This window comes from Homo sapiens, chromosome 3, assembly GCF_000001405.40.
Source record: "Homo sapiens chromosome 3, GRCh38.p14 Primary Assembly".
In the NCBI taxonomy this organism is placed as follows: Eukaryota; Metazoa; Chordata; class Mammalia; order Primates; family Hominidae; genus Homo; species Homo sapiens.
Genome location: NC_000003.12, coordinates 148,193,120 through 148,220,805, shown reverse-complemented (window position 1 = coordinate 148,220,805; position 27,686 = coordinate 148,193,120). Strand labels below are relative to the sequence as shown.

The following is a 27,686-nucleotide window of genomic DNA, read 5'->3' as shown; positions in this document are numbered from 1 at the left end:
ATAATCAGTGGATAATCATAAATTGATTGGTTGCTTTATGTTAGTATCACCATAACTTATAACGATAACATGTAGAATATATTATTTCTTAGCAAGGCAGTTTGGTGTAGTGAATAGGGACCAATAGATTTTTTTCACATCCTAGCTTATCCTTTTAGCTGTGTAAACTTGAGTTTTCTACTTTTTCCCACAGAGTGCAGAGTTGATGTGAGAAGAAGCTAATATGGTATGAAATGCACCCATCTCGGTTTTTGACCTATAGTATTAAATGCACCCATCTCAGTTTTTGACATATGGTAAATATCATAGCCATTACTTTTCATTTTCTGTGGCATATTTTCTCTTATTTTTTTCATCTTTGTAACTTTGGTTATCCACATTTTCTTGAGTTTTATTACCTTTGCTTTTGTGGAAAACTGATTTGTCCTATCATGTTACCAGTGTTCAAGAAAACCCCAAAGGGGCAAATATTTGGAAGCTTTTAGGAATAGCCTGAGTAAGAAAAAACAAAACTCTTTCTAAAAGCAAGTGGTTGTTTCTAAAGTCTGCATCTAGTAAAATCAATAACTTAAAAATTTAATTTGCATGTGTGAGAAAAGTCGCATAGTCATCATAAATGGAAGAAAAGCTACATACTCTGATAATTTATTTATTCATGGGATTATTTCTAAAAGAAATTCATTAAAGTTAGATAGAAAGAAAAGAATCACATGAACTTTATTCACACTTCCCATTCTGACTTGAAATATTCAGAGAAGTAGGAGAGAATAAGAAATTCTAAGCCGCAGAAAGGGATTTTTTTATTTTTAATAAGATATCAAAGAAGATCTTGCTATATGTTTTTGATTTCAATAAATTAAAAAATTGTGTGTAAGCATAGGTTTAATAATAACCTTATTCAACACAACGTCATGTTGCATGGAGTGTTAATATTTTTTGTTTAAAAAAAAGTATCCAAAACTTTAAAATAGAGGATGACTAACTGGCTTTTCAATGTCATTATTTTACAGACTCACTCAATAATTATTTAATTTTATAGGAGAATGCACCTGTATTTACTTAACTATTTGCTACTTAATCATTTTTATTATTTTCCATTTACATGGTAACTTATGTATTTCTGGATGATAGAAAAGATAACTCCAAGTATCACCATTTTATGTCTCCGTTAAGCAGTTTTGGACTGCAGTCTATGGACACCAGCAAATCCATTTCATTACTCTTTTGGCTGATTATAAAAGTCTCTGTTTCTCAAAATCTCCTTTGAACCAGACTTACCATCTTACTGATTCTCTTATTAATTAATTAATACAATCTTTTATAGTGTTTATTCTATATTTATATAAGGATCATGTTTTGAATTTTTTGAAAATTATATTTTAGCCCCTCAATCATAAGCTTATTTTTACATGAGGTTACATGGGGGATTTAAAATGTAACTTTCAAAGTGGGGGAAGAGACACTGTCCTTCCACAGTAGACTGATTTAACTCTATGCTGTTAATCACTTTTTTAACTGATTACAGTATTATTGCACGTGTGTAGTAAGACTGTCAGCATCTTTAACAGGAATATGCTCAATTAAGATGTAACATGTAACATATCAAAAGGTTCTAAGAGCATTTCCACATTTTAATATTTTAAGAGATAAGAATTATTATAAAGGAGCTTAAGTAAAACCATTTCATATGCTTTGCAAATTAAAGATGTGGTATAATTTACATGCCACTATTTTTTAGGTTAAGTGCTATGTCTTTTCAAACATCATTTTAATAAGGAGTATGGCACAGAGTGTAGACGATAAAGTTTTTACGCTTAGACTTTGCATTGCCAGTGAATAGAATTTTGGAAAATGAGATAGGAATACAGCTGAGATAGAGATGAGTAGACATTATTTTGTTCTTCCAGTGCTTTATATTGTAATTCTTCTTTTTATGTATTGGTCTGGGTTCGAACAAGAAAGAAAGTGGTCGTTTGAGGAGAATTCAATTATGAAGGCTGCGAGTATGGTTAAGACAAACCACAAGTGATAGTGCAGCCAGTAGTAGCAGGTGTCTGTTTCCTAGTGAGAAGGTTTCCAATGGGTGCTGTGGCCTTGGGTTGAGGGAGTTAATTCTGCAGAGAGGGAACTATGGGAATAAATATTGTGACTTTATTATCTTTCTTTTCCCACCCCCTGTGGATACTCCCAATTGGCTAAATCCACTCAGAAACCAGAAAATAAGGGGAAAAATTTTTACAGTCCATATTGGTTAGCCTCTAGGGAACAGAGTAAGATGAAGATGAGTAGAGAATGGACCTAAAAGAGAATGTGGGAGGTGCCGTGCACATCTGGCACATATTCAGCAGGCGTGCTAGTTGCTAGAATACAGTTTAGGAGAGGCTAGAATTGGAACTCTTTACTGGCTGGCATCAGAACGTTGTGAAATCCACACATTCAGGCCAAGGGAACATTTAGTATTGAGTAAGAACACTGCCCACCCAGATAAAGAATCAGGTCTGGAGTTTAGAAGTCAGTAAAGTCAGGGAAAGTGCAGATAGAATCTGTAAGTGTAGAATTTTAACTGAATCAACATTCTGGAAACAACTAACTTGGTGAAGGTGGGACAGTACCTTTTACTTTTCTAGTTATATATTTTTTCATGTGTAAAATTAGAGAGTTGGAATAGAAAGAATGTTTTATTGCCATATAATTTTAAGTGGGGAAAATAAAAAGAGGAACAAACAAACTTTTTATTGTTTTTATATTGCCTTACTTCTAAGAATTGGTTTTTAGTAGAGCAACTAAAATAGCATCTTTTGTTTCCTTATATTATTATTTATCAATGAATTCTCCCTGAAGGAGGCAATCAACAGCAGATTGTTAGGGTCACTTTAATCAGAGCTGTAATGGTTTATTCTACTCTATGAAGTTGATATTTACTCAATATATAATGAGGAAGCAAGAAGTGGTAAAATGGTCAGCTGCAAAAATTAAGCATTTATATCCAAATGTGGAGAAAATCTTTATTTTAATTAGATACTCCTCTCAAGTATAAAGGAAAAGGTAAGTTAGTGTCTTCACTACAAGAGAAGCAACTCAAGGTTAAGTAATTTGAATGTGTACTAGTTGACCCAAGGAGAGAATGAGGGGATTGGTATTTAACCTAAGGTTGTGTGCATTTCTAGCTTTGGGGCCTAGAAACTCAAAAGGCCGTTTCTGAATTTCACTGCTAAGGTTAGTATGTGCAGCCTGATTGTTTCTATCAAGCATGTGCTTGGCTTACTCTCCAGCTTGCATGCGTCTGCTGATAACTGGCAGCTTGAAATTGTCCTGAAAGAGAATAAGGGCTCTTGATTAATCCCATGCACGGTATCAACATATTATTGATTCATTATCAGCACATTGTTTCATTTCCTGGGAACAGGGATAGGTTGAAGACAAATATAACTTCAAAGTGGGTACAACCCAATGAACATACAAGTTGGATAACTCATGTTCTTTTTCTGGTTTTAAATAGAGAAAAACACTGGTTACGTTTACATTTCAGCTGAATTACTTTGAGCAAAGAAAAGCAAAACAAAACAAAGCAAAGACAATTTGTGAATCAGGCAGTTTTCCAAACCAGAAGAGGTTCAGAGAACTCCAATCAATAACATGATCTGACAGTATATATAGGAAATGGAAGTGTGGTGTAGAGACATCTTGATTGGTTATAGCTTAATTGGTTAATTTGTGATAGAGCTTCCTGAAATTAACTGAAGCTCAGCTACTATAGTTAAACTACATTTTAGTTTATCTTGTTAGGCTTAGTGCAGTAGCCTAGTCCAAATCAATAGCCTTCCATGAATTTTATTTGACTATTTCCCCCTTCTGTCTATGTGTGTGTATGACCAAAACTTAGGGTATTAGCACTACTCTTAGTCACCATCATACTGGGTTACTGCACTCAACATGTTGTTCATAGGTTATGATGTCCTCATGATCCTATATTTCTTTGAGTTCTTGTCATCTCAGCCAAAGAGAGACCATTTAGTGTCCAGCATATTTCTGCACATAGACATTTAAGACTCCACGAAAGAATACAGTGCACCAGCGGCTCTACTATTATGATGAGTGAAACCAATATAATAGTCCTATAGACAGTTTTTTTGGATAAACATAAAAATCGACGCTTCTAGTCTTAAAGCTTGAAGCTTACCTTTGTTTTATCTGAGTTCTTTCCTCAGAAAAAGACCCTCAGACCTCTCAAAAAGCGTCAAAGAACTGAAACTCACCAGATCACCACATCCAGACAATGAGATGTTGGATCCCTCATTCATCATGATTGTTTCCTTATCCCTCCCTAGCTCCTGTTTTCCCACACATTATTACATTTATTCCCTGCTATATAATCCCGTAATTTTAGTTGGTCAGGGAGATGGATTTGAGACTAATCTCCATTTCCTTGGCTGCAACACCCAATTAAAGCCTTCTTCTTTGGCTATAATAATTGCCTCAGTGATTGACTTTCTGTAAGGTGAGCAGCAAGACCTGGACTGAATGCCTGGTGTTATGGTAACAAAAGAATAATACCAAGGATTTGGAGTATATTCCTTAGCCAAGTTCCTCATGAACCAAACCAACTAAAATCAAATCTATTAAAGAATGAAGCTGGAGAAGGAGTCTTTTCATTTTGACCAAATAGCTTGTATGTTAATTTTTTGTAACTAAGTCTCTGCAATATCCAAAGTATTCATTTATGTGCAACAGAAATATTATACTGCACAAACTCCTCCCTATTCAGCTAGTAAGTAATCTAGCACTTATAGCTGGGTTAAATTAAAATAGGGAGTGAGAACAAGTGGGTCCAGAAATCTAGTTACAAAATTATCTTGTCAAACAAAAGAAGTAGGTATAGGCAAGGAAACGGTAACAGGTGTAAGAGCCTCATTATGATAAGGAATCTTATTCCAATGTCTTGGGGAAAAGCTGTCCACATCCAACAAGTCATCTACTTTTAGGGAAAAACCTTGCCTGGTCAGCTTTACCTGAAAGTCTCCAATAGGTGGACAGTTCTAAGGCTCTGGAGAGGCCCTTTTAAATTATAAAATTTAAACCCAAAGTTTAATGCCCTGAAGTTTTAATGAAGTATAGGTGGTAAAAGAACCTGGAATGGCCCTTTCCAATAGGGTTCAAGGACAGTCCTTTCAGATGCCACTTCCATCTGAAGACCCAGTCTCTGGGTTCTAGATATGAAAGGTCTGGATATCATCAGTTGGTGAATCATGAAAACCTCCTTTATCTGGTGAAAATACAACCTGGTATAATATATAAAAGTCATATAACATTTGGCCATATCACAATTTAGAAAAGCAGGAGACACATGTATTAAGGGTACAGGCCTTCCAGTAACTATTTCATAATGATTATAACTTGGCCAAGGCAATCCAATTGACCTTGCCAATTAAAATTTCAAAATTCTATTTATTCTTTCTAGTCACAGAAGACTGAGAATGATAGGAACAGTGGCAAAGCTATTGTTAGTAACACCCTGTTAAACTGTTTTATAATTTTTCCAATAAAATTAGTACCACTATTACTGATGATTTTTCCAGGAATGCCCCATAAAGAAAACACACTTTCAAATAACTTTTCAGCCACTGTTATAACATTGGCCTTCCTGCATGGAAAGCCTCTATATAACCAGAGAACATAGTCTATTACAAGATCATATTTATACCCATTGAAAGTGGCAATTGAGTGAAATCCGTTTGTAAATGTTCAAATTGTTCATTAGATAGCATAAATGTAGCACCTGAAGCTTTTATTGTCCTCCTGGGATGATGTATTTGAAAAACCAAACAGGAGCCATAAAGTATTTTAGCAATTTTATTAGTCATTCCATCAATATTTGTTAGTAATTTGAATCATCTTGCCTATTTTGTGATGAGTCGTGAAGTGCAAGAATCTTAATAATGGAAGCCTCCAGGACTCAGAAAGAAATAGGCAGCTGTCTGGGCCCTCTGTGAGTCCATTCTTGATAAAAATTTGTATCCTTTCAGATACAAACCTTGCTTTTCTAAATCAGGTGCATTGCACTGTTTAATAAATTATCATAGAAGAATTTTATTGGATCGATCTTAGGAAGTTTATTTAATTTGAACATCTTAACAATTTCAGCATTGGCTGACCTTGCATGAAAAGCTGCCGAAACATTTTCTTGATATTCAATGAATTTTTATTCTTTTTGATGTTGAGTTAGTTTTATGAAACAATCAACACAAGTTCCTGAAATCTGTATCCAATCTAGTGGTATGATCTTAAAGTTATCAAAAACCTGTACTAAAGTCCTTTCCATGAACTTTCTTGAAGAAAAAAACACTTTTTACACTATAGCTGGTTGCAAATACTTTTAGAGAAAAATCAAAACTATAACTGTGAATTACAAAGGCTTAGAATAGCCATGACAAAAATCTGATGAGAGTTTGTTATAACCAGCAATTGACAAGATAATTTGGTTACCTCTATTGGACATAACATATTAAAATAATGAGTAGAATTATTACCAAAATTGTTATGCAAAGACTATTAAATTTCTATGAATTTCATACAATTTCTGAAACACCTTTATAACATGTCTATATCAATACAACTTAAAGAAGGTTTAGCATTATTTATTTTGACAATGTAATTTAATTGTTAAATAAGCCTAATTAGTTTAATATATAATTTATTATATAAAATAATATATAATGTAATATATGAAATATGCCTAATTAGTTTAATATATCTCTTTCAGACACTCTGGGGTTCTTCTGGAATGTTCCAAAATTAGATTGAAGTCAAAAACCCTAAACTAGAACTTGACTTTAGGAAGCTTGTCAAAAATATCAAAGGTTTAAAACTCTTGGTCAAAATAAGATTACAGATCACTGTGGAAGTAATATCATTCATTTAACCAAAATGAAAATCAAAAGACTTTAAGGGCTAATAGCAGAAGCCACATAGCTATAAAAAAGAAACTCCAGCTCATTGGTAGAGAAAACACAATTTTCCTAAGTAATCAAAAGATCTTTTAAAGCTCTATTTTCTATTAAGAGCAGATCATTTCTCCAAGAAAACCTTGTTTTAACATAAGAAACCAAACTCTAATTTTGCATCAGTGTACTTTTGATATTAATGCTCAATTCTTGGAAAAACTTATAAAAGGTTCCCTTCTAATTTTAGCCGGCTTGATCACACGCAAGATTCCTTTGACATGATTTATCTTCCACAAACCTACAACCTTTTTGTACATTACCTATCATCCCTTCCTTCATTTACTCACTCTGAAACAAGTTTTAAATACCCTCCAAACTAGACAAAATTACTTCTCCTCAACAAAAGACATATCTTTCATACCTTATAGCTTCACTTACCAAAAACATGTCTCACTTTCCTCATTTAATTCTTTGTTATTATTTCTAGTTTTCTAGTCTTAGTTAGAATTTTAATTTTCTAGTTTTAATTAGAATTTTTTATTCTTGGTGACCTTAATTTCTAGTGACAACCTAAAAAATATACAATTCTGAACGGTTGTATATTAACATTTTTTACAAACCTTTTAATGTTTATTAACAGACCCAAATATACCTAGCATTTTTAATCATGTGAAAAAAAAGTCTCACTTAAAGAATTTATTCATTATAGATTATTAAATTATGAACCAGCACTCTGTCTGGTACTAGATAAATGGCATCAAAAATAGTTGGCATGAGGAGTTCAATTCCACTGTTCATTTGCAGATACTAGTGAGTGGGTAATTACCAACAGGTAGGTAGGCAAGGCAAGTCCTTCTGAATTCCCCTTATCATCCTAAAGACAGAGCCGTCAAACAGACTCAACTATCATCACTCCTCTGAAGATTAACTCTTATCGCAGGAGAGATTTTACCACACCCAGACAAACCTTGCTACAAACCATCATCTATTCTTCTAAGGTCCATTCAACTTTCTCAAAAACAATTCATTCTGAGTATATTTTCTTCACCTCTTGATCACTTTACTCATTTCAGCAAGCAGGTTGAGTCAAGGGACCCCTGGCCTTTCCTTGATTGACCTGACTAATTATTGCCCTAAGTGATTACTAATTAGGTTGATCACTGTAATCAGATTTTGGACTAAATATACTAAATATCATAACCAGCTGAGACAAAGAAAGACATAAATGGAAAACCTCATTGACACAAAATGGCCAAACATGAGTCTTGCTGTATATATAGGCCCAAGTCTTTTTTGCCTTTTACATCATAAAAGCCTCTAGTGATTTAGTCCTTCCCTCTTCCCAGTGCAGAGAGGGAGACAGCCCTGTGAATGGAGACTCTCCACAGGTATAAATTTCCTTCACTAAAGACAGGTCTCAAAATAACTAAAAATAGGTTGCTTTCCAATTCAGCCCGTGATCTTTCAATTAAATTACTGAGTTCAGGGTGGAGCTCATTAACGAATGGGATTCAAAAAGCCTCTTCTATGTTGGATTAGGATACAGTTTACTATTGTTATTGTTCTGAACTCAAGGTGTAACTTACAGAAGCAGACTCCATTGATCTAAGGAGTCAATCTCTATAAAAAGCCTATTTTTTCTTTTTTTTTTTCTCCTGTTTTTAGTGTTTTAAATGCTCTATGGCAAATTTGCAAATATTATTGTTTCTGGGTTTAAAAAGTCATTTTCTAAATGTATCCCACAAATAAACAATTTTACCCAAACTAAAGCTTCCTAGTTTGGGTCACTGTAATTCCAAATTACCTTTGGTAAGGTTCACTCATTTCTCTAATGAGTGCACATTCTAGAAATTTTTTTACATAAAATTTGAGTTTCAAAGGGAAGTGTTCCAGACTTTGGACCCAATCCAGTTTCTGTCTGACTCAAACAGCTACCACACACCCATAAAATGGTCATAGGCTCTTCCACAGTACAGACTGACCCTTGACCACCCCAAGGTCATGTGCTCTCTCATGGTACAAACTAGCCCTGGATAAAGTTCCAGAAGGTGGAGTTCTAGACTCCCTGAATCCAGGTGAACCCATGATTCCCTGTCTTCCAGTAACCTTACCTACCTACTGAACCCTGTTCAGTTTTTTTATTTGTTTCTTTGTTTGTTTTTTTAAATATTTTTAAAGCATTTATTGAACACAGTTAAGAATTCCGGTCTTTGTTTTCTGGCCATAAGCTCAAAGAGAAAAAAATAACAATTGGAAACATTTCATAATTGTTAGATAAATCAGAATATGACTGCAAAGAGACAGAGAACAACTCTCTTGTCCAGATTCTAAAAATAATGGTGAAATTTATCATCTTAGCACAGTCCCAAGCTATGTATCATCAGAGGAAATTTATCAAACTTGAGAATCAATAAGTAAATGAACAGAATATTTCTATAAACAAAGGAAATATGGTATTTTCATTCATGTAGTCAATAAAAATAACTTCAATGCACAACATTTGGGAACAAGAACCTGGACTATCCCACATACATGTATTCTTTCATAATTTGGGATGTTTCTGTACCAAAATTTAGTTGCTATGCATCATAAATTGTCAAATGATGAAGGCAGATGTGTATAAAAGGTTACTAGAGGAAAATATGTAATTTAGAAATTAAAGAATCATTGAATTGATTATTCTAATCGCTGTTGATATATCTAAAAGTGAAAACACTTTCCATTTGTGGAGCAAAGAGTATGGCTGTCCTTTCATCAATAAAATTATAAACTGTTAACATTTTCAAAAAGCTATTTGAGTATTGCATTTTTATGGTGCAAGAACAAGAAGCATTAGATGTAATAAAAAGCTAGAATGTATTAGAAAAGTGTTTAAAATCTGTAATTTTTAGAAAATGTATATATTCCAGGTTCATGAATGACAGCCAGTAAGCAGCTAGTCACATTCAGAGGATCACTCTAGGTACAATATCTTCAAAACTAACAAAATATAAAATAAAAATTTGAGTTAGCTATGATGACATTCTTATTAAATGTATTAATAAAGTCATTTTCAGTATACCTTTTTTCTTGTGTAATTTTTAAATTTTTATTTATTTATTATTAATACACAATAGTTGTACCTATTTTGGGTACAACTATTATCACCTATGTGATATTGTGATACCTGTATAGAATGTGTTATAATTAAATAAGGGTAATTACCTCAAATATTTTTGTATTTTATTTTTTATATTTTTATTTTATTTTTGTTTTCAGGACTTTACAATTTTTTTCTCCTAGCTATTTTGAAATATGTAATAAGTTATTGTTACCTATAATTTTCCTATTGTATTATCAAATGCTGGTATTCCTGCTATCTAAGTGTATTTTTGTACCCATTAACAATCTTCTCTTCATCTCCCAGTTTTTCGTGTGTCTGATTCAGTCAGACAATGGAGGCCTCTTTGTAGGACCCAGTCCTGTTTCTACTGAACCCAGTTCATTTTCTGTCTGACCCAGTTAACAACTGAGACTTCCCTACCAGTCCTGTTTCTATCACAACTTCTGAACCTAGTTGGACAAAAAACTTGCTCAAACTCAGATAGCAGTAAATAAGCAAGTCTCATAAGTTGGAGCATGTTAGACATCAAGTATTTTATTATACAACTTTCATTTATATCACTGCTAAATACATAACTTTAAAGACACACATAAACACTTATTAATTTATCCATTAACTAGTCAAGTATGTATTCAATGGTCCACTTACTGAGACCTACTCTATTTTATCCTAGGCACCAGGATTACAAAGCTTAACAAGTCATGATTTAGATTCAGAAGTTACAAAGAGTGGAAAAGGTAGGCATATCAACAAAATATGTGCTTAGTAATAAACATATGTAAAAGATAATAAAGGGATACTTAATTTTTATTATATGATTTCAGAGAAAGTCGTAACTGTGCCACGGTTTGGAAAATGACTAGGGGTTCTGCAGGAAGAAGATAGTAACAAGAGAATTTAGGCCAAAGAAAACAGTTTGTGAAGGGAACCCACAAGGTTCTTTTTTTTTTTTTTTTTTTTTTTTTTTTTGAGACAGAGTCTCGCTCTGTCATCCAGGCTGGAGTGCAGTGGCGTGATCTCGGTTCTTTTAGGGTACTGTAAACAGCCTAAAAGAGTATTTTGAAGTATACATTTCAAAAGGGAAGTGGATGAGATATTAAGCTAGAAACGTAGGTAAGGGACAGATTTTTGAGAGTGTATCTTTATGTAAAGCAGATTGGATCTTAGTTTGGTAGACAATAGGGTTCTGAGCAATGGGATCACATTCAAAGATCATTCTGATACACTTGAATGTTATATATTTGGAATTAAGGATATGAATCACAGGTTGCTATAATAGCACAGTTGAGAAAAATGCCTTGGCAATGGCAATGAGAATGAAGAGGTAAGATTCAGCATATACCTAAGAGAAATAATCAGAGAGACTTGGTTTAAATTGGATGTTTGGAATAAACAGTTGTGAGGATGTCTCACAGGATTTTGTCTTGTGTTTATTCCCTGCTGACCCTACTGAATAAAGTAGGAAAAAGCAATTGAAAGAAAATTGGGTTAGGAGGAGCTGACTAATAGTTAGTGAAGTGAAGGCAAAAGATGGTGTAACAGAGTAATAATATTTGGCAAAGTTTTAACCTTGTTGACTTTAAGGGGTGGGTGCCTATTAAGCTGTTAGTTCTATAAGCCTGACACTCAAGAACAGGAAATGAGGTAGGTACTGAAAAAGCCCAAATCACAGGCAGGAATGATGATTGTGTATATTATTATGTTATTGTAGTAATGACTCTAACTCAAAGACCAGTCCAAAATATGTAGGTAAAGACAAGATAATTATTTGTAATACCATAAAGTTAACTATGTCTTCAGAAGTCATCCCTTTTTATTATTTTATATTGATCACACCTTCTTTTAAAAAATAAGACTGCAAATATCTAATCACTGAAGACGAGGCTCTTATTAACATATTTAGTTTCCTACTTTTTAAAACAACTTTTTATTTTGAAATAATTTTAAGCTTTCATAAAATTTACAAAAAGTGTACAGAAAAATTTTGTGTGCCCTTTACCCAGTTTCCCCCAGCGATATCATCTTAGATAACCATAGTAGAATTATCAAAAACAGGAAACTAGCATTGCTACATTACTAATTAAACTACAGCCCTTATTCAAATCTCACCAATTTTCACATGCACTCATTGGTTTATTGTTGTTTTAGTTTATACATCTATGAAATTTTAATGCATGTGTAGATTCATTTAATCACTGTCATAGTCAAGATAAAAAATAGATTCATTGTCCCCCATACTCTCTCCATCAACTGATAGTCACCCCTTTGCCTACCTCCTCTAACAACCAGTAATCTTTTCTCTATCTCTATAGTTTTGTCTTTTTGAGAATGTTGTAGAAATGGAATTATGCTATTATAGTAGGTAGCTAGTCTCGCATGAGCAGAGAAGGAAAGGGCTCCCCTGACATACACACACATCAGGAATGTCAGGCGACCAGGTGACGGTAACGTGGTTCTTAAATGTCTCTCTAAAATAATAATTTGTCACAGCCAGCGCCAGCAAAAGGCAGTCACCTAATAGATACAAAACATCTGAAACTGCTGATCAGCAGCTTCCTGATAAGATCTCAGAAGTTGGGCAAGTGGGCTCAAGCACGTGCATGTGGACAGCCCAACCCAAGCAAAGAATCAGGGGAGAAGTAACGCAAGACCCCAGAAGTATGCCAATGTATAAAACCCCACATCAAAAGGTCAAACTGTGCTCTTGATCTCTCAAGTCACTCACTTGGCCTTCTTCCAAGTGTACTTTAATTCTAAAGCTTTTAAATAATCTTTCACTCCCACTCTAAAACTTGCCTTGGTCTCTCCTTCTGCTTTATGCCCTTAGGTCATATTCTTTCTTATGAGGAGACAAGAACTCAGGTTGCTGCAGATCCATATGGAGGATATGCCTCTGGTTACATATTTTGGTGCCATGTGAGTCGGATACGTTCTGTTGCTAACAATACAGTACGTAACCTTTTGAGAATGGCTTCCTTCACTCAACGTGATGCTTTTGAGATTCATCCAAGTTGTTATGGGCATCAGTTGCCAGCTCTTTTTAATGGAAAGTAAATCTACTTGCAAAGCCTATCTGTGGCCTGCAATTACTTTGAGGTTTTGGTCACTGTAGTTAGCCATGAATGGTAATGATCACTTAGCTCTCTAAGGTTGAAGTTTGAGCATAATATATTCACATGCAAAAGAGCCGTGGGGATCACTTCATGGAAGTTACTCTCATTTTTCTTCTTTTTATGGGGCTAGCTAATAATTCTTATTCTGCTAACAAAGTTTCGGGGAGAACAAATTTGACAATGAAATTCAAAAGAGAGAGAGTGTGTGTATGTGGATGTGTGTGTGTGTTATTTGATGTGTACAGAAAGATTTTCTTTACATTTTATTTCAAGTCAATCATTTGTACTTTATTTTCCTACTATGGTGCTGTTCATGGTTGGTTAGGATCAAATACTGTTTTTTGTTTGTTTGTTTGTTTTGAGATAGAGTCTTGCTCTGACACCCAGGCTGGAGTGCAGTGGTGTGATCTTGGCTCACTGCAACCTCCGCCTCCTGGGTTCAAATGATTCTCGTGCCTCAGCATCCTGAGTAGCTGAGACTACAGGCACGCACCACCACACCTGGCTAATTTTTGTATCTTTTTAGTAGAGATGGGGTTTCGCCATGTTGGCCAGGCTGGTCTTGAACTCCTGACCTCAGGAGATCCACTCGCCTTGGCCTCCCAAAGTGCTAGGATTGCAGGCATAAGCCACCGCGCGTGGCCCAAATATTGTGTTTTAACCATTTTTCCTACAGACTCATAGCATAACATGTCTGTGATTTCTAATTAGGTCATGCTGTAGCTCATAAACTGAGAATATCTATATAAATCGATTTTAAATACATGAAAATTCTCACAATTATTTAAAGTTTTTGGCTGCTTCTGATAAATTGGTCCTAGATTATAATAACAGGTCAACTTTTTAAGTTAGGAGGGAGGTGGTTGGTTTTTTCAAAGAAAATTTCCACAGGCTTCTAGGAGATGACTTCATGGGTCCAGAATTTGTGTTCTTTTGGTATGTTTGATGAAAATAAAAATTTGAACAATTGAAATGCACTAAATGTAGCTAAGTTGTGAAAGAATTACATGGGACGTGGGAGAAAACCACATGGGCATTGTTTTAGAGCATTTGTTTTGCATCTGGCCAGCTAAAGTGACAGAAAATAAGCAAAGAGACAGAGGCATACACATCTAGGACACTTAAACACCAAGGCCCAGTTTAGGACCATGTGCCTGCTGTTCAGAGAAGGGAGCTATCAAGGCTATGAGAATTTATCAGAGAAAGGTTTATTTTCCAGAATTTCTGCAATGTGATGATATACTTTCACAACAAGGGAAATTATTTTAAAGAACAAAATAATGAAAGTGGTTTGGGATCAGGTTGACTATGAGCACAAGTAGTCTGGACTTCATTCCATGTGCAGTGCAGTGTTACTGATGATACTGGGCTGTGGAGGTACGTGATGAAAACAGTATTTTATTGAGATTATCCTGGCAGCAAAATCTTCAGCTAATGGAAACTGGAGCCAGTGGATCTGTCACAAGTGATCAATCCATGTTGCCAGTATAACACTAAGATAAGATCTTGATCTAGATTAAGAGCAGCCAAAAGTAGGAATGAATACATAGTTTATAAGAAAGCATCTGTTGCTAGTTCTGGGAGAGTAGCGGAATGCTTTGAACTTGTGAGAAAGTAGGTTACATGTTTTCCTATTTATGATGTTTCAAAGTGTGTTGAAGCTATTTTTAAACTCTTAAAAACTGTGTGTGTGTGTGTGTGTATGTGTGTTTGTGTGTGTGTGTGCTTCTACCAAGAATGAATTTTAGGTTTTATTTCTATTTTCATGGACTCTTCAAGCCTTATGTGAGTCCTTGATTATACCAATGTCTCAAGCTTGTGTGCTGAAGTTTTTTAAAACTGTGAGGATGTGCAAATTCTGCCTACGAATAGATTGGATTTGCCCTCCAGGATTAGATGCCAATTTGTGCTTAAACTTAGCCACCTATAGCGACTAAAGCATGTTAGTTACTCTGTCTGAACATGTATTTCAAAATTAACCATACAGAAATCATGTCTCAACTTAGGAATGTTAGAAAAACTGCACTAGTAGACCCAGCTCAAACCCCCTAACCTTTGTTGAGTCTTTTAATTTTATGATACAACATAATCAAGGAAAATTAGATAGTGATAGAAGCAAAAGAACATTACTTTTGTTGGTGGTGACAATATTATGAATTCAAATGTGTATTATAATTTGTCCTAATTGAGACTCAATTTGTCTTAATTGAGACTCTTATTCCTAAGAAATACAATGTAGTTATCTGTAGTATGATATATGCATGACCAGAGATCATAGACATGATTGTTTTTAAAAGGAATAGTTTGCTTGTAATGACCCACCATGGGAAGGATAAATCTTCCTTGTACTTGGGTCTTCAGACCACAGTTGCATTCAAAACATGTCATTTAGGACTGTGAAAGAATGATTCTTTCTGATGGTTTTAACATTAAAGAGAAAAAAAAAGCAGAAGAAGGAATTTTGAAACTTAGGGTATGGATATTGAATTAGTTCCAATGGGCTCAACAAATGTAAATAATTTGACCAATGATGCTGAGACAAAATGTATGGGTATTGGGGTAGATATAAGCAAATGTACAAAAAATTATAGTTAAAGGCAAGCTATTTAACCAGGGATTCTGAAGTGTGAGAAGTTGTAAGGTAATGAAAATTTGTCTTTAATTTTGATGAGATCTATATTACATGGGCTTACATGTGGAATTACAATTCATGGGGTGATCAGCTCATCCTTGCTTACTTGGGACTTTCTTGGTTTTAGCACTGAAGGCCTCATATCTTGAGAAAATCTTCATTGGTCACCCTAAATCTTAGTATTATTTTTAAAATGACATTAGCATGGATCTGTTTCCTCCTTCACTTCATCTTCCTTTACTTTCTTACCCTCATGGGAGTCACCTATCATCATAATTATCAATACCACTTATTTTAAATGGCTGTTGATGGTTGAAAGCTTTTCAACTAAAAGAAACAAGAAGCAATTTTTTTCGTGTAGACATTCACATATACAGCATCTCCCAAGTTTCATGGGCCTCAGGTTGATATAAAAATTTATTTGCGCTCTTCTGAACCATTGAACTAAAATTCTCATTCTGTTATGTTTAATCTCATGTTTAACACCAATTGTATTTGTAAATTTGAGAGGTGGGGGTGGGGGAGTTTATTTGCCTAAAATTTATTTTATTTTAATTACAGCAGCATTGATATAAAATTTCACATTTTAAAATCTATGTTGTTGGAAACATCTTCAGATGTGCCAGAAGTGCTGAAATAGATACAATCTAGTAGCTTGTCAGTAAAGCAAACAAAAACTGCTGGGTCAGGAGCACAGCTGTTTGCAGAAGGCATTAAATATTTTTTTTACAGTCTTTCCCACAGGCCAATATTCTTTTATGTATTGATTTATATTTTAATAATGACAGGCTCCACTGGCATGAGCATTTCTTTTCCTCAGAAATTAGATAAAATCGTAATTTAGACACAGGATAAAAGGTGGAGAGAATTAGCATTTTGCAGCATTAATTAGCTTACTTGCTCTCACTTATTTCTGATCAAATAGAGGATGCTTAGAGCAGCAGCAAACAAAGCTATGAGTATCCTTCAGTTGTACAAGACGACATTGATGTTTCTAATGCATGTAAATTCAATAGCTTTGCCTTTATTTTAAAAGTATGGTTTTAAAAATACTGGTTTTAGATCACTACAGTAAGGAGTGAACAAAGGAAGTAATTGGATGTAAAATATAACATTAAAAGGACTATAATTGAAGGAAATGCTCGAGCTGTGAAAACACTCCTAGAGAATGTATGATTATGCAAGCTTTCTCCCAGTTTGGTACTCTCATTCCTTCTCCAGCATTTTCCTGTTTTGCATCTTCATTATGAATTGAGGTTGCCAGAAAAAAAAAAAAAATGATGTAACTTTAGCAGGCCAGCATTTCATTTTTAAATAATTGTTTGTGTTGTTTTCCAAAGCATACAACTTCAATCTTACTCGACCAGCTCCTCTCTAGCCCTATTGCTGCCCCTTGTAGCTACTGCTTTATTCGATTCGACCTGTGCACTTTCTCCACTGTCGGCTCCCAGCACTGTGTTTCTCACTTTCTCTTTCCACATGGCTGCTTGGTTTGCAGAAGATGCCTTCCTACAGATGTGTTCCCTCTCCTGACAAACAATTACTCCTGTTCCCCCCAGCAGGAGTCCATTAGGATATCATCACGGGTTCTGCTAAGTCATCTCACAATCACAGTTTTGTGCAATCACCTCTCATCTGAGACTCTCTAGGCATATGCCATGCAGGGAAACTAGCAGTCACAAATGGCAGCAACTCCAGGCATATTATTTGTTATTTTGGTCCAGAAGTGTAACAGATAATGGCTAATACGCTAATGTCTGACAGTCTCATTGGACTCTTTGACTGGCATCATTTACAGCAAACTTGTGAAAGACTGAATGGGTTATCATGTGCTAGTTGAGAGAGAAAGAAAGAGACATTTTCATATTTCCATAGCAATTATACACAATGGTCTAAAAGAGACCTGACAATAGTGATTTTTACAAAGTTGTTTTTGTGCAGACTTTCAACATTGTGAGCTTGGAAGAATAAATTGCCAGATACTAATTATCTTCCTGGAAAATAGCCATTTATATGTTTATTTTTATTTTAATCTCACAAACCCAGCTTATGTGAATCCATACAGCGAAGACCTATCTAAAATATACTCCTTTAAAAATCGATGAAATACACATGCAATGGAACACGCATGGCTTTTTTTCTTAAGGTATCACTGACAGCACTACCTATTAAATCTTCTTGTTTTATAGGTAGCATCTCACAGGAATTTCAGTAAGTCTAAGCTCAATATTTAATATATTATAAAATAGGTGAATTTTGGCATGATGTTATATTAACACTTAAATTGTTTTTTATTGATTCTTGGGTCTGGTTTACTACTGCACTGGGGTTCAATGTGTAAAATCAGACAATGTACTAACAAGCTAAGACTTCTACAGAGTCCCAGAGGGCAAATGAGGAAGGGGGCGCTGTTCTCCTAGTCTGAAATTTCAGTCATTCATTGGTTTCCCTTACTGCTGTACACAAGTTCCTTAATTTCACTTCCTCAAAACTTCAAAATGAAATTTTATCAATTTTGATTAATTGAAGTGAAAACCAGTCAGGATTGGTGTGAACATATGAATTACAGATTTTTTGGAAGAAATACAGTTTTATTTTTGGCCAGGACACATAGGTAATTGAACTAAGCACTGAACACAGTGTCCCAGTCTGATATAACGTGGACACTCAATACATACTTATGTAATTGAGCTGAATTGGAACCAAGAGCTGTATAGAATCTCCACTTTAATGAACAAGTGAAAGTTATTGGTAATTGGAAAAGCAGAGTATCAGCCACAACAACCTCAGGCTCTCCTTAAATTGTAACCAACCACTTGCATTTGGAAAGATGCTCCCAAAGTACTTGAATTCAGTGTGTTCTCTCTCAAGTAGCCAGATAAACATCCCTGTTCAATGTGGCTTATGTTGTTCACTTGTTCAGTTAAAACTAGTCATGCATGCCTTATTTTTTCCCTTCTACTGAGAAGAAGAAAACAACAACAAATCTGTAAACCTAGTTTTTCTCTCCACCTGGATTTTCACAAATTCTAGGTTAGTCTAAGGGAATTTGGATTATTTACCCTCTATTGTATCCCCATTCTCTGCTCAATAGATTTACAAAAGATAAGAAAAAAAACAGTTCCAACTGAGTTGGCTAAATGCTATCGGTGACATAAAAATGCAGAAGCTCTAGTCCTGTCTTGGTGCATCTCATTTCAACTGTCAAATATATCCAACTTCTAAATCCAGTGACTTAGAAAGACAGAGGAGAGAGAGACAGAGAGAGAGAGAGAGAATGCACATTGGTTCTCTTTATGTACCTCAAAAGAATAAAGTCTGAAAACTCACATAAGTGTAAAAACTGACCTTATAACATTCAAATAACTTATTGTCAATTATTCCATTCAAAAAATAGGTGTTGAATTCCTACTATGTTCAAAACACTGTATTAGCTGTTACAGGTGGATACAAAACTTAGGAAGATAGGTTATCTTCCTTTACAAGGGCCGAAGTATAATAAAAATGGTAAGATAACTATAGCATACAAATAATTGCACAAACAGAACATTCTGTAAATTACTATACAGAAATGAAAAGTGAAATGGTCCTGAGTTTGATTTCAACTCAGTATGACCCTGACCATGCCACTTAACTTCCTCAAACCTCAATTTTCATATCTAAAAATGTAGGCCTAATAATGACAAACTTGTCTTTGTAAAGATTGGGTGCAATGCACAAAAAGTACATAGTGTGGTGTCTGGCACACAGACAAATGCTCAAAAAAATAGGATTTATCAGATGGTCTTAATTAAGGATTTCCCCATAAATATGGTAAATGAGATAGGCCTTGAAATATGAGTAGAGTATCACTAGGTTTACCTAGCTAAGGTGGGTAAGAGAACATTCATGTTTGAGGTTACGTGCAGAGTTATCATCATTTATCCCTAGCAGATTGTTGGCATGACCACCTACCTGGGTCACCCATCAAAAGCAAAGGGAAGACAGAGTCAAAGGAGAGAGAACTTGAAGCTAAGAGAAAGCAGAGTCAGTCCAGACTTCCCTGCTGCGTATTTGTACAGCAAGCCAAGGGAAAAGATTTACTCTAGGTCTGAGTAATACCCCTAGTGATCCAAAGAGATTCACATCAAAAGAAGTCAGAAGAGAGTATGGATGCGGGCATCTAAAGAAGAGATCATAGGAGAATACAGGGTTAAACTGGGTGTTTCAAGTGTTGAATCAGAAAAGGACAGGGGAAATCAGAGTGGGATTTGGGATCCTTCTCTCCAGTTCAATTACCTGTTTATTGAATGTCCATGTTGTGCCAGAATAGCAGACTAGGATACTGTGTTCAGTGCTTAGTTTGATTACTTATGTAATTGGACAAAAATAAATTTCCTGGGAATTTGGTGCTGATATGAACAGAGAAAGACACACACCTGTTGATCTGCCTGGCCTGTGCCTTGGACATCAGTTTTGAATATGAGGTGCTACAGAGACATAGGAAAGAAGTCAGTTCCATAGATGCGTGAGATTCTGCAAGAGGCTGGATTTGAAATCTTCATCCTCTACTAGGCTTTGGTTTTAGGAGAAGCACAATATATTCTGCACAGTGTAGAAGTGCAGTGTATTTTGCAGGTATATGAGGCCAACACTAAAAGGAATGAAAAGCATATGATTGAAAACTCATGGGAAAAGTGCATACACTAGTTTGGGAGATGGATCCACAAAGATATATAGAGGTAATAATGCCAGCTGAGGAGTTATGTTTAATTCAAAAGTTAAAAAGAAGCTCTTGGATATTATCAAGAGGTACAGAGAAATAATTAGAACCATGCTTTTTGGAAATTGGACCAGAAGGAAGAGAAACTAGAAAACTAAAGGCAGAGAAGTCGATGAGGTAGCCACTAAAAACAAAGTCTGAATCTAAGTCAGTGGGAATAGAAATGAAGAGACGTGCATGGAGATAGAACGAACAGGAGTTTATAGTTGATTAGAGTGTAGAAAGAAGGAAAAGAGCCATGTTTTAAGTGATTATAGCGTTATAAGCAAAGTCTCTGAAGTCAGATTGACTTACTTGCAATTTTTCTGTGCCTCATTATTTTATCATCTGTAAAATATGTGGGTTAATAGTACCTATCCAATAGGGTTGTTGAAAAGTTTCATGGGCAAATGCAAGTAAAATGCATTGAAAAAGTATTTGTTTTATAGTAAGTACCAATTGACTCAGAGATATACTGATGATTCTGGGCTTCTCTCCTTAGAAACACAAAGAGGTGTTGGTGCCATGAACTGAGAAAAGGAACATGGGAGGAAGTACGTCTTTGGAAGTAGAGGCGAGAATGAGTTCCAGAAATCAAATTGTCCAAACTATCTCCCTGGACACACCAGGTGTAGTATAGGTAACCCTATCAGTTATACAGTCAGTGAGCAAAAGAGTATGGAGGAGAGCTAGATAGAGTAAGAACCTGGCAAAAACAAGAAATGGGGAAAGGAATCCCTATTTAATAAATGGTGCTGGAAAACAGGCTAGTCATATGTAGAAAGCTGAAACTGGATCCCTTCCTTGTGCCTTATATAAAAATTAATTCAAGATGGATTACAGACTTAAATGTTAGACCTAAAACCATAAAAACCCTAGAAGAAAACCTAGGCAATACCATTCAGGACATAGGCATGGGCAAGGACTTCATGACTAAAACACCAAAAGCAATGGCAACAAAAGCCAAAATAGACAAATGGGATCTAATTAAACTAAGGAGCTTCTGCACAGCAAAAGAAACTACAATCAGAGTGAACAGGCAACCCACAGAATGGGAGAAAATTTTTACAATCTACCCATCTGACAAAGGGCTAATATCAAGAATCTACGAAGAACTTAAACAAATTCAGAAGAAAAAATCAAACAACCCCATCAAAAAGTGGGTGAAGGATATGAACAGACACTTCTCAAAAGAAGACATTTATGCAGCCAACAGACACAAGAAAACATGCTCATCATCACTGGCCAGCAGAGAAATGCAAATCAAAACAACAATGAGATACTATCTCACACCAGTTAGAATGGTGATCATTAAAAAGTCAGGAAACAACAGGTGCTGGAGAGGATGTGGAGAAATAGGAACACTTTTACACTGTTGGTGGGACTGTAAACTAGTTCAACCATTGTGGAAGACAGTGTGGCAATTCCTTAAGGATCTAGAACTAGAAATACCATTTGACCCAGCCATCCCATTACTGGGTATATACCCAAAGGATTATAAATCATGCTGCTATAAAGACACATGCACACGTATGTTTCTTGCAGCACTATTCACAATAGCAAAGACTTGGAACCAACCCAAATGTCCATCAATGATAGACTAGATTAAGAAAATGTGGCGCATATATACCATGGAATACTATGCAGCCATAAAAAAGGATAAGTTCATGTCCTTTGTAAGGACATGGATGAAGCTGGAAACCATCATTCTGAGCAAACTATCACAAGGACAGGAAACCAAACACCACATGTTCTCACTCATAGGTGGGAATTGAACAATGAGAACACTTGGACACAGGGTGGGGAATGTCACACACCGGGGCCTGGCCTGTCGTGGGGTGGGGAGAGGGGGAAGGGATAGCATTAGGAGATATACCTAATGTAAATGACGAGTTAATGGGTGCAGCACACCAACATGGCACATATATACATATGTAACAAACCTGCATGTTGTGCACATGTTCCCTAGAACCTAAAGTATAATATTAATAAAAAAGAAAGAAATATCTTAGGTCATGGTGGCAGGGTTGGACTCTGAAGAAAAATCACCTCACTCTCATAAAGAATGTAGCTATAGAGATGTTTTAAGGCCAAGAACAGGGAAGTAGAAGTTATTACTTTGAATGATTGCCTTTAGAAGTGTGATTGATCTGGGGCAGTGGCTGGGAACCTGAAGAGAGTGAGATATTTTGAAATAATAGCTACAGGAATTGAAATAGTCACCTAGTGATGAATAAGAGAAATATAAAGTCACCTGCCTGTGGAATCTTTTAGCAAAATATCTTTCCAGACTTCATTTTCCACATGGGTGATAAGTTTTAAAATTTAGGTATTTTATGTCAACCATGAAACCCTGAGTTTTTCCCAGATGAATTGAGAATGATGTTTTTGAAAAGTATGTGATGTGCACAAAAAAGGTGTGTGTGTGAGTGTGTGTGTGTGTTTGTGGGTGTGTGTGTATTGTGTTGTGGGTAGTCATGTGATAGTATAAAATAACATCAGTATCAGAGTTTAATCAACTTAGAGCTTTTTGGGGTTTCACCAGATAATGTCCAGAGGTTTCTTAAAGATTCTGCTAAATAAATTATCAATCAAATTATGAGTTAATTATTGTACTTTGACAATAATCTATTGATGGTACTACCTTGAGAAAACTAGTCTCACAATATTATTCTGATTTATCCTTGCCTTATAATGTAGGAAATAGAATAGGAGAGCATGAAACAATCTGGCTTTCCTTATGCATATTGATTAAGGCCCCAAAGGGGAATGAGGAATCAATTCCATGTCACTATGGTTATTTGCACATAGAGTAACTGTTTGGAATTTAGCCTGATTCATATTCTGGAATGGCTTTCAACATCCTGCAGAGTCAGCACTGTTCATTTTGAGGTGTTTTCCATCTACTTTACATGCTTAATTGCTCAGTGACTGGTGGGTTTGTTTCATTCACTATGAGCAGTCTTGAGGCAAAGAGGCAACCAACAGTCACTAGATTATTTTCTTCAATTTCAGCCTGTGGTGTCAGGAGAGGTCCTTGACTTGTGACTGGCATTGAGCCCAGCAACCCGCCAGATCTATTGGAGCCCTCAGTGGGTTTTGAATGGTTCATTGGAGGGAGTTGATACTATCCTACGGGAAAGTTGAGTGCCAGCTGGTTTTAAAAATGTTCCTCTTTGACTTTCTGTGGCCTCTCCAATAAACCCATTTTACGAATGGGGAAAGGGAAGTTTATAACAAGTAACTTGGGTCATTAAAATCCCCTAATGGCTGGGTGCTAATGGGTAGGGGTATAAGAACTCAGTGGACTCATAACAATGACACAATGGAATAATAATAGGTAGTAATTTCATGAATACTACCTGTGTGCCTGAGTATCTACTAACTCTCACAATAATTCTTCATGTTACCTACAATTATTCCCATTTTACAGTTGAGAAAACTGAATCTCAAAGATAAAGCCTCAATAATCACACCTCTAGTAAGTGATAAATTCAACATGGAAACCTACTGCTATCTCATTCTAACATGTTAGTTTGCTTCTTCATAAGAAATCACGGAAAAAGATTATGTGGCTCCAGTTTTGCATACTGGACCCCATACATAGTTTATAGAAAATTGTCGATTCCTCTTCATTATGCTCAGTGTCTATTAGACCACTTATGAGGATGCCTAAGAGTGCCAGAACTATAGTAGCATAAACATGTACAAAAATGTAATCCTTAGTAAATATTTTTTCTGATCATATCATTGTGATGTTCCTGAGAGATTAGAAGCACAGGAATTTTAGTTCAAAAGAAGCTATTATAATTTTCCACTGAGGTAAAATATTTTTAAACATTTTGTCTACTCAGTTGCTTTTATTCAAATTCAGGAGTCATGCTTTCTGCTCTTATTGAATTCACCACCACGCCTAGCAAGCAAAAGGGTTCTTGGTAAATTTTAAGAATATCTGGTTTCCTAACTCAGTTTCTTCCAATATTCACACTTATACGTTATTTGCTCCAGATTTGCCCCATCCCAGGCTAAGAGATCAATTATGTTTCTTTCTAGATGGATTCTGCATGGTTTACGTTAATAATTAAATGGTTCAATAGCTAGTTGAATCTTTTTCTCTAGCTTTCTAGCTGATATCTTTCTCTGACCATGTACTTGGTTCTAGAGATAGAACTGTTGTCTCGTTGATTATGTACATACCCCTTTCTTAATTTTGACCCAGCCTCTCTACCTTGTTGGTCCTGTTTCTCGCTGACCAGCTTGCTTCTGCCAGTTCTCCTGGAGGCTGAAGTCTGGTTTTCAGCACCAAGTCTCATCGTTTTTTAGATACCTGTGGCAGAGTTTTGTAATGTTAACACTCTGCCTACCTACACCTCTATACATTTCCTGTCACATGCATTCCTGATTACAAGCACTGCCTAAAGACCTACTATTTGTTCTACAGGTGAGCATGTCCTACTCCGGTGGATTTTTTTTTTTCATCTCTGAGCTTGACCTGAGATTGACCATCTGACCTGAGCTATAATTTTGACATAAATTTTGACTAAAAGGTAACCTCTTATTTTAGAAGTTTTTTTCATTGTTGAATTACATTCTTCTTTGAAAGAATTGAAGACAGCTAATTATCCATGTACTGCCAAATGGTTGGAAAAGATGTGGTTACTATTTACATTATCTTAGAGAAAGTGAACTAGGGAAGAGATGACCATGTCTACTTAGGATCTCTCATGCATGCGTATATACATAATGAAAATGATCAATATAGGAATTTCCATTAGTATGCTCTTAGATTATCTCTATGTGCTTGCAGTAGGTTAGCCCAATAAGGTCATCAAAATTATATGAATTCATAATAGAAAGGTATTCCTCAATAATTGATCCAATATTAAGGCAGAAGCACTTCAACAAAAAAAAATCATTTCTTAAGAACTTTCTGTAAAACATACACTATACTATGTGTGGACCATATAGAGACCTGTTCTTTACTGTCAAGGGACACACCAACTTGATCTGGTAGTGCATTGGTTGCACATAACATTCTATCTTATATTGCCGTTGTAATAGACATAGTGAGGAATATAGTGAGGAACTTTCATTGATATTAGAAATATGTAACTCAATAGACATGGTACCTTTTGAAAACTGGCCATCAAGGAAAGGGTCACCTTGATTGCTACACCTAGACTTTAGGCCTGACATCTAGTGCCCACTATAAGAATTGCAGCACAGGCCTATACACCATGGAGTACTATGCAGCCATAAAAAAAGGATGAGTTCATGTCCTTTTCAGGGACGTGGATGAAGCTGGAAACCATCATTCTCAGCAAACTAACACAGGAACAGAATACGAAACACCACATGTTCTCACTCATAAGTGAGTTGAACAATGAGAACACATAGACACAGGGAGGGGAACATCACACCCAGGGGCTTGTTGGCGGGTGGAGTGTTAGGGGAGGGATAGCATTAGAAAAAATACCTAATGTAGATGATGGGTTGATGGGTACAGCAAACCACCATGGCAAGTGTATACCTATGTAACAAACCTGCACATGTGTCCCAGAACTTAAAGTATAATAATAACTGTAAAAAAGTATTGCAGTGCAGGGTACCAGACAATGGTTGCCCGATAAAGGTCACATGAAGGATCTGAGGTAGTTGAAATGAAACATGAATTCCAACCAGCTTCCTCTCTCACAGTCCTGAACCTACAATATATATCCATCCTTCAAGTGCATTTTCAAAATATGATCCTAAATAATCATGTAATTTTAGAGGTAGAGGGCTCACATACCATTTTCACTTAACTATATTCTAATTACTGGATATGAAAAAAATATAAAGAAAAACAAATCTTTAAATGTTCTGGCTTTAATGAGCACTTTTTGTAGAATTAACTTATTGAAAAGAGGAATTACCACATGTTTACACTGACTACATTTTGTCATGTTTTCTTCTTTTTTTAAAAAATGGAGGCTAATAATACTAATCTATTCGTAGGGGGATGTCTTTACCTTTATAACAGTGAAGGTAATTATAACATAGCTTTTAAGCTTTTGGGGAGAATTTAAACCGTTAATTCATGTAAATAATTTTGAACGGTGCCTGAAATATAGTAAATCCAAATGGTATTTGCTATTTTTTATTTGGGGTTTTATGATGATAATAAGCATTATATAGTTTTTAATGTATGCACATTTGTGGCCTTATTATCTTGGAAAAGTATTGTTTCCTCATATTAAAGTCTACCTATTTGGAGAATTCAAATGTTATATGTGATATGAAATAGTCATCGAGATTCAAAGTTGAAGGAACAATCTCTAGTCCAGCTCTCTCCTTTATGTATGAGGAAATATTACTAGAGATGATTACACAACTTTGCAAAGGTTATACAGATTGTTAAGAATGTGCCTAAAATCTGTTTTTTTTAAACTAAGTTTAATCTTGATTAAATCTTGGTTTAATCTACCAGCACCATGTGTCTCATTTTTATCTTCAAACTAATGCTGACAAATGAATTTTTTTCTCACAAAGAGGTGTCTGTTTTCATACATGGCTATGGATTTATAATATACAAGTATAATAAAAAAGTTTGATGTATTTCTACATTTTGAAAAAATATTAATAATTTTAACAAGTTTTTTCACTGTTGGAAAATAGTAATGTAAGTAAACAGAAAGATTAAACATAGCCATAATCCCATTGTTCAGATATACATACACACACATATAATATATACATACATATTTATTATTTCCACATATGTCCTTCTGTACTGTTCTATAAACAGGTACATATATGTTTCAACTAAAAGGTAGATTTAAACTGTATAGGTTTTGTAATTTGTGTTGTTCATTTAGGTTATAACATAAAATTTATCTATGACATAGTTTTTGTTGGCTGCATTTTATTTTATGGTTTTACCAAAAATGGTTTAATTAATTCCACTTTGACATTATATTAATGATGAAAAAGGGAAGTTAGGCAGTTTCTTAATAGCAGGGGCCAATTGAGAGTAAGAGAAAAAAATTGGTAGTGCTATTGAAAGCCCTGTTTCTTCCCTCATTCTCAGGTCATTATGTGCCAGCAAAGGACATTAGATAATTGAAGGAAGACATCCCTATATGACAGTGTATTTACTTGGGTACTGATGGGAAAA

General features: G+C 35.2%; 1 long non-coding RNA gene across 2 annotated transcripts; it reads left to right on the top strand.

The window, feature by feature from the left end:
* The first annotated feature begins 210 nt into the window (after positions 1–210).
* On the top strand, positions 211–27,686 carry LINC02045 (long intergenic non-protein coding RNA 2045). 2 transcript variants are annotated; one of them, XR_924565.1, is made up of 6 exons: positions 211–296; positions 10,718–10,781; positions 12,872–12,960; positions 21,033–21,159; positions 24,972–25,077; positions 27,600–27,686. It is a non-coding gene; the product is annotated as a long intergenic non-protein coding RNA 2045 (long non-coding RNA). The 2 variants fall into 2 exon arrangements; XR_924564.1 differs by lacking the exon at positions 211–296 and adding an exon at positions 8,296–8,329.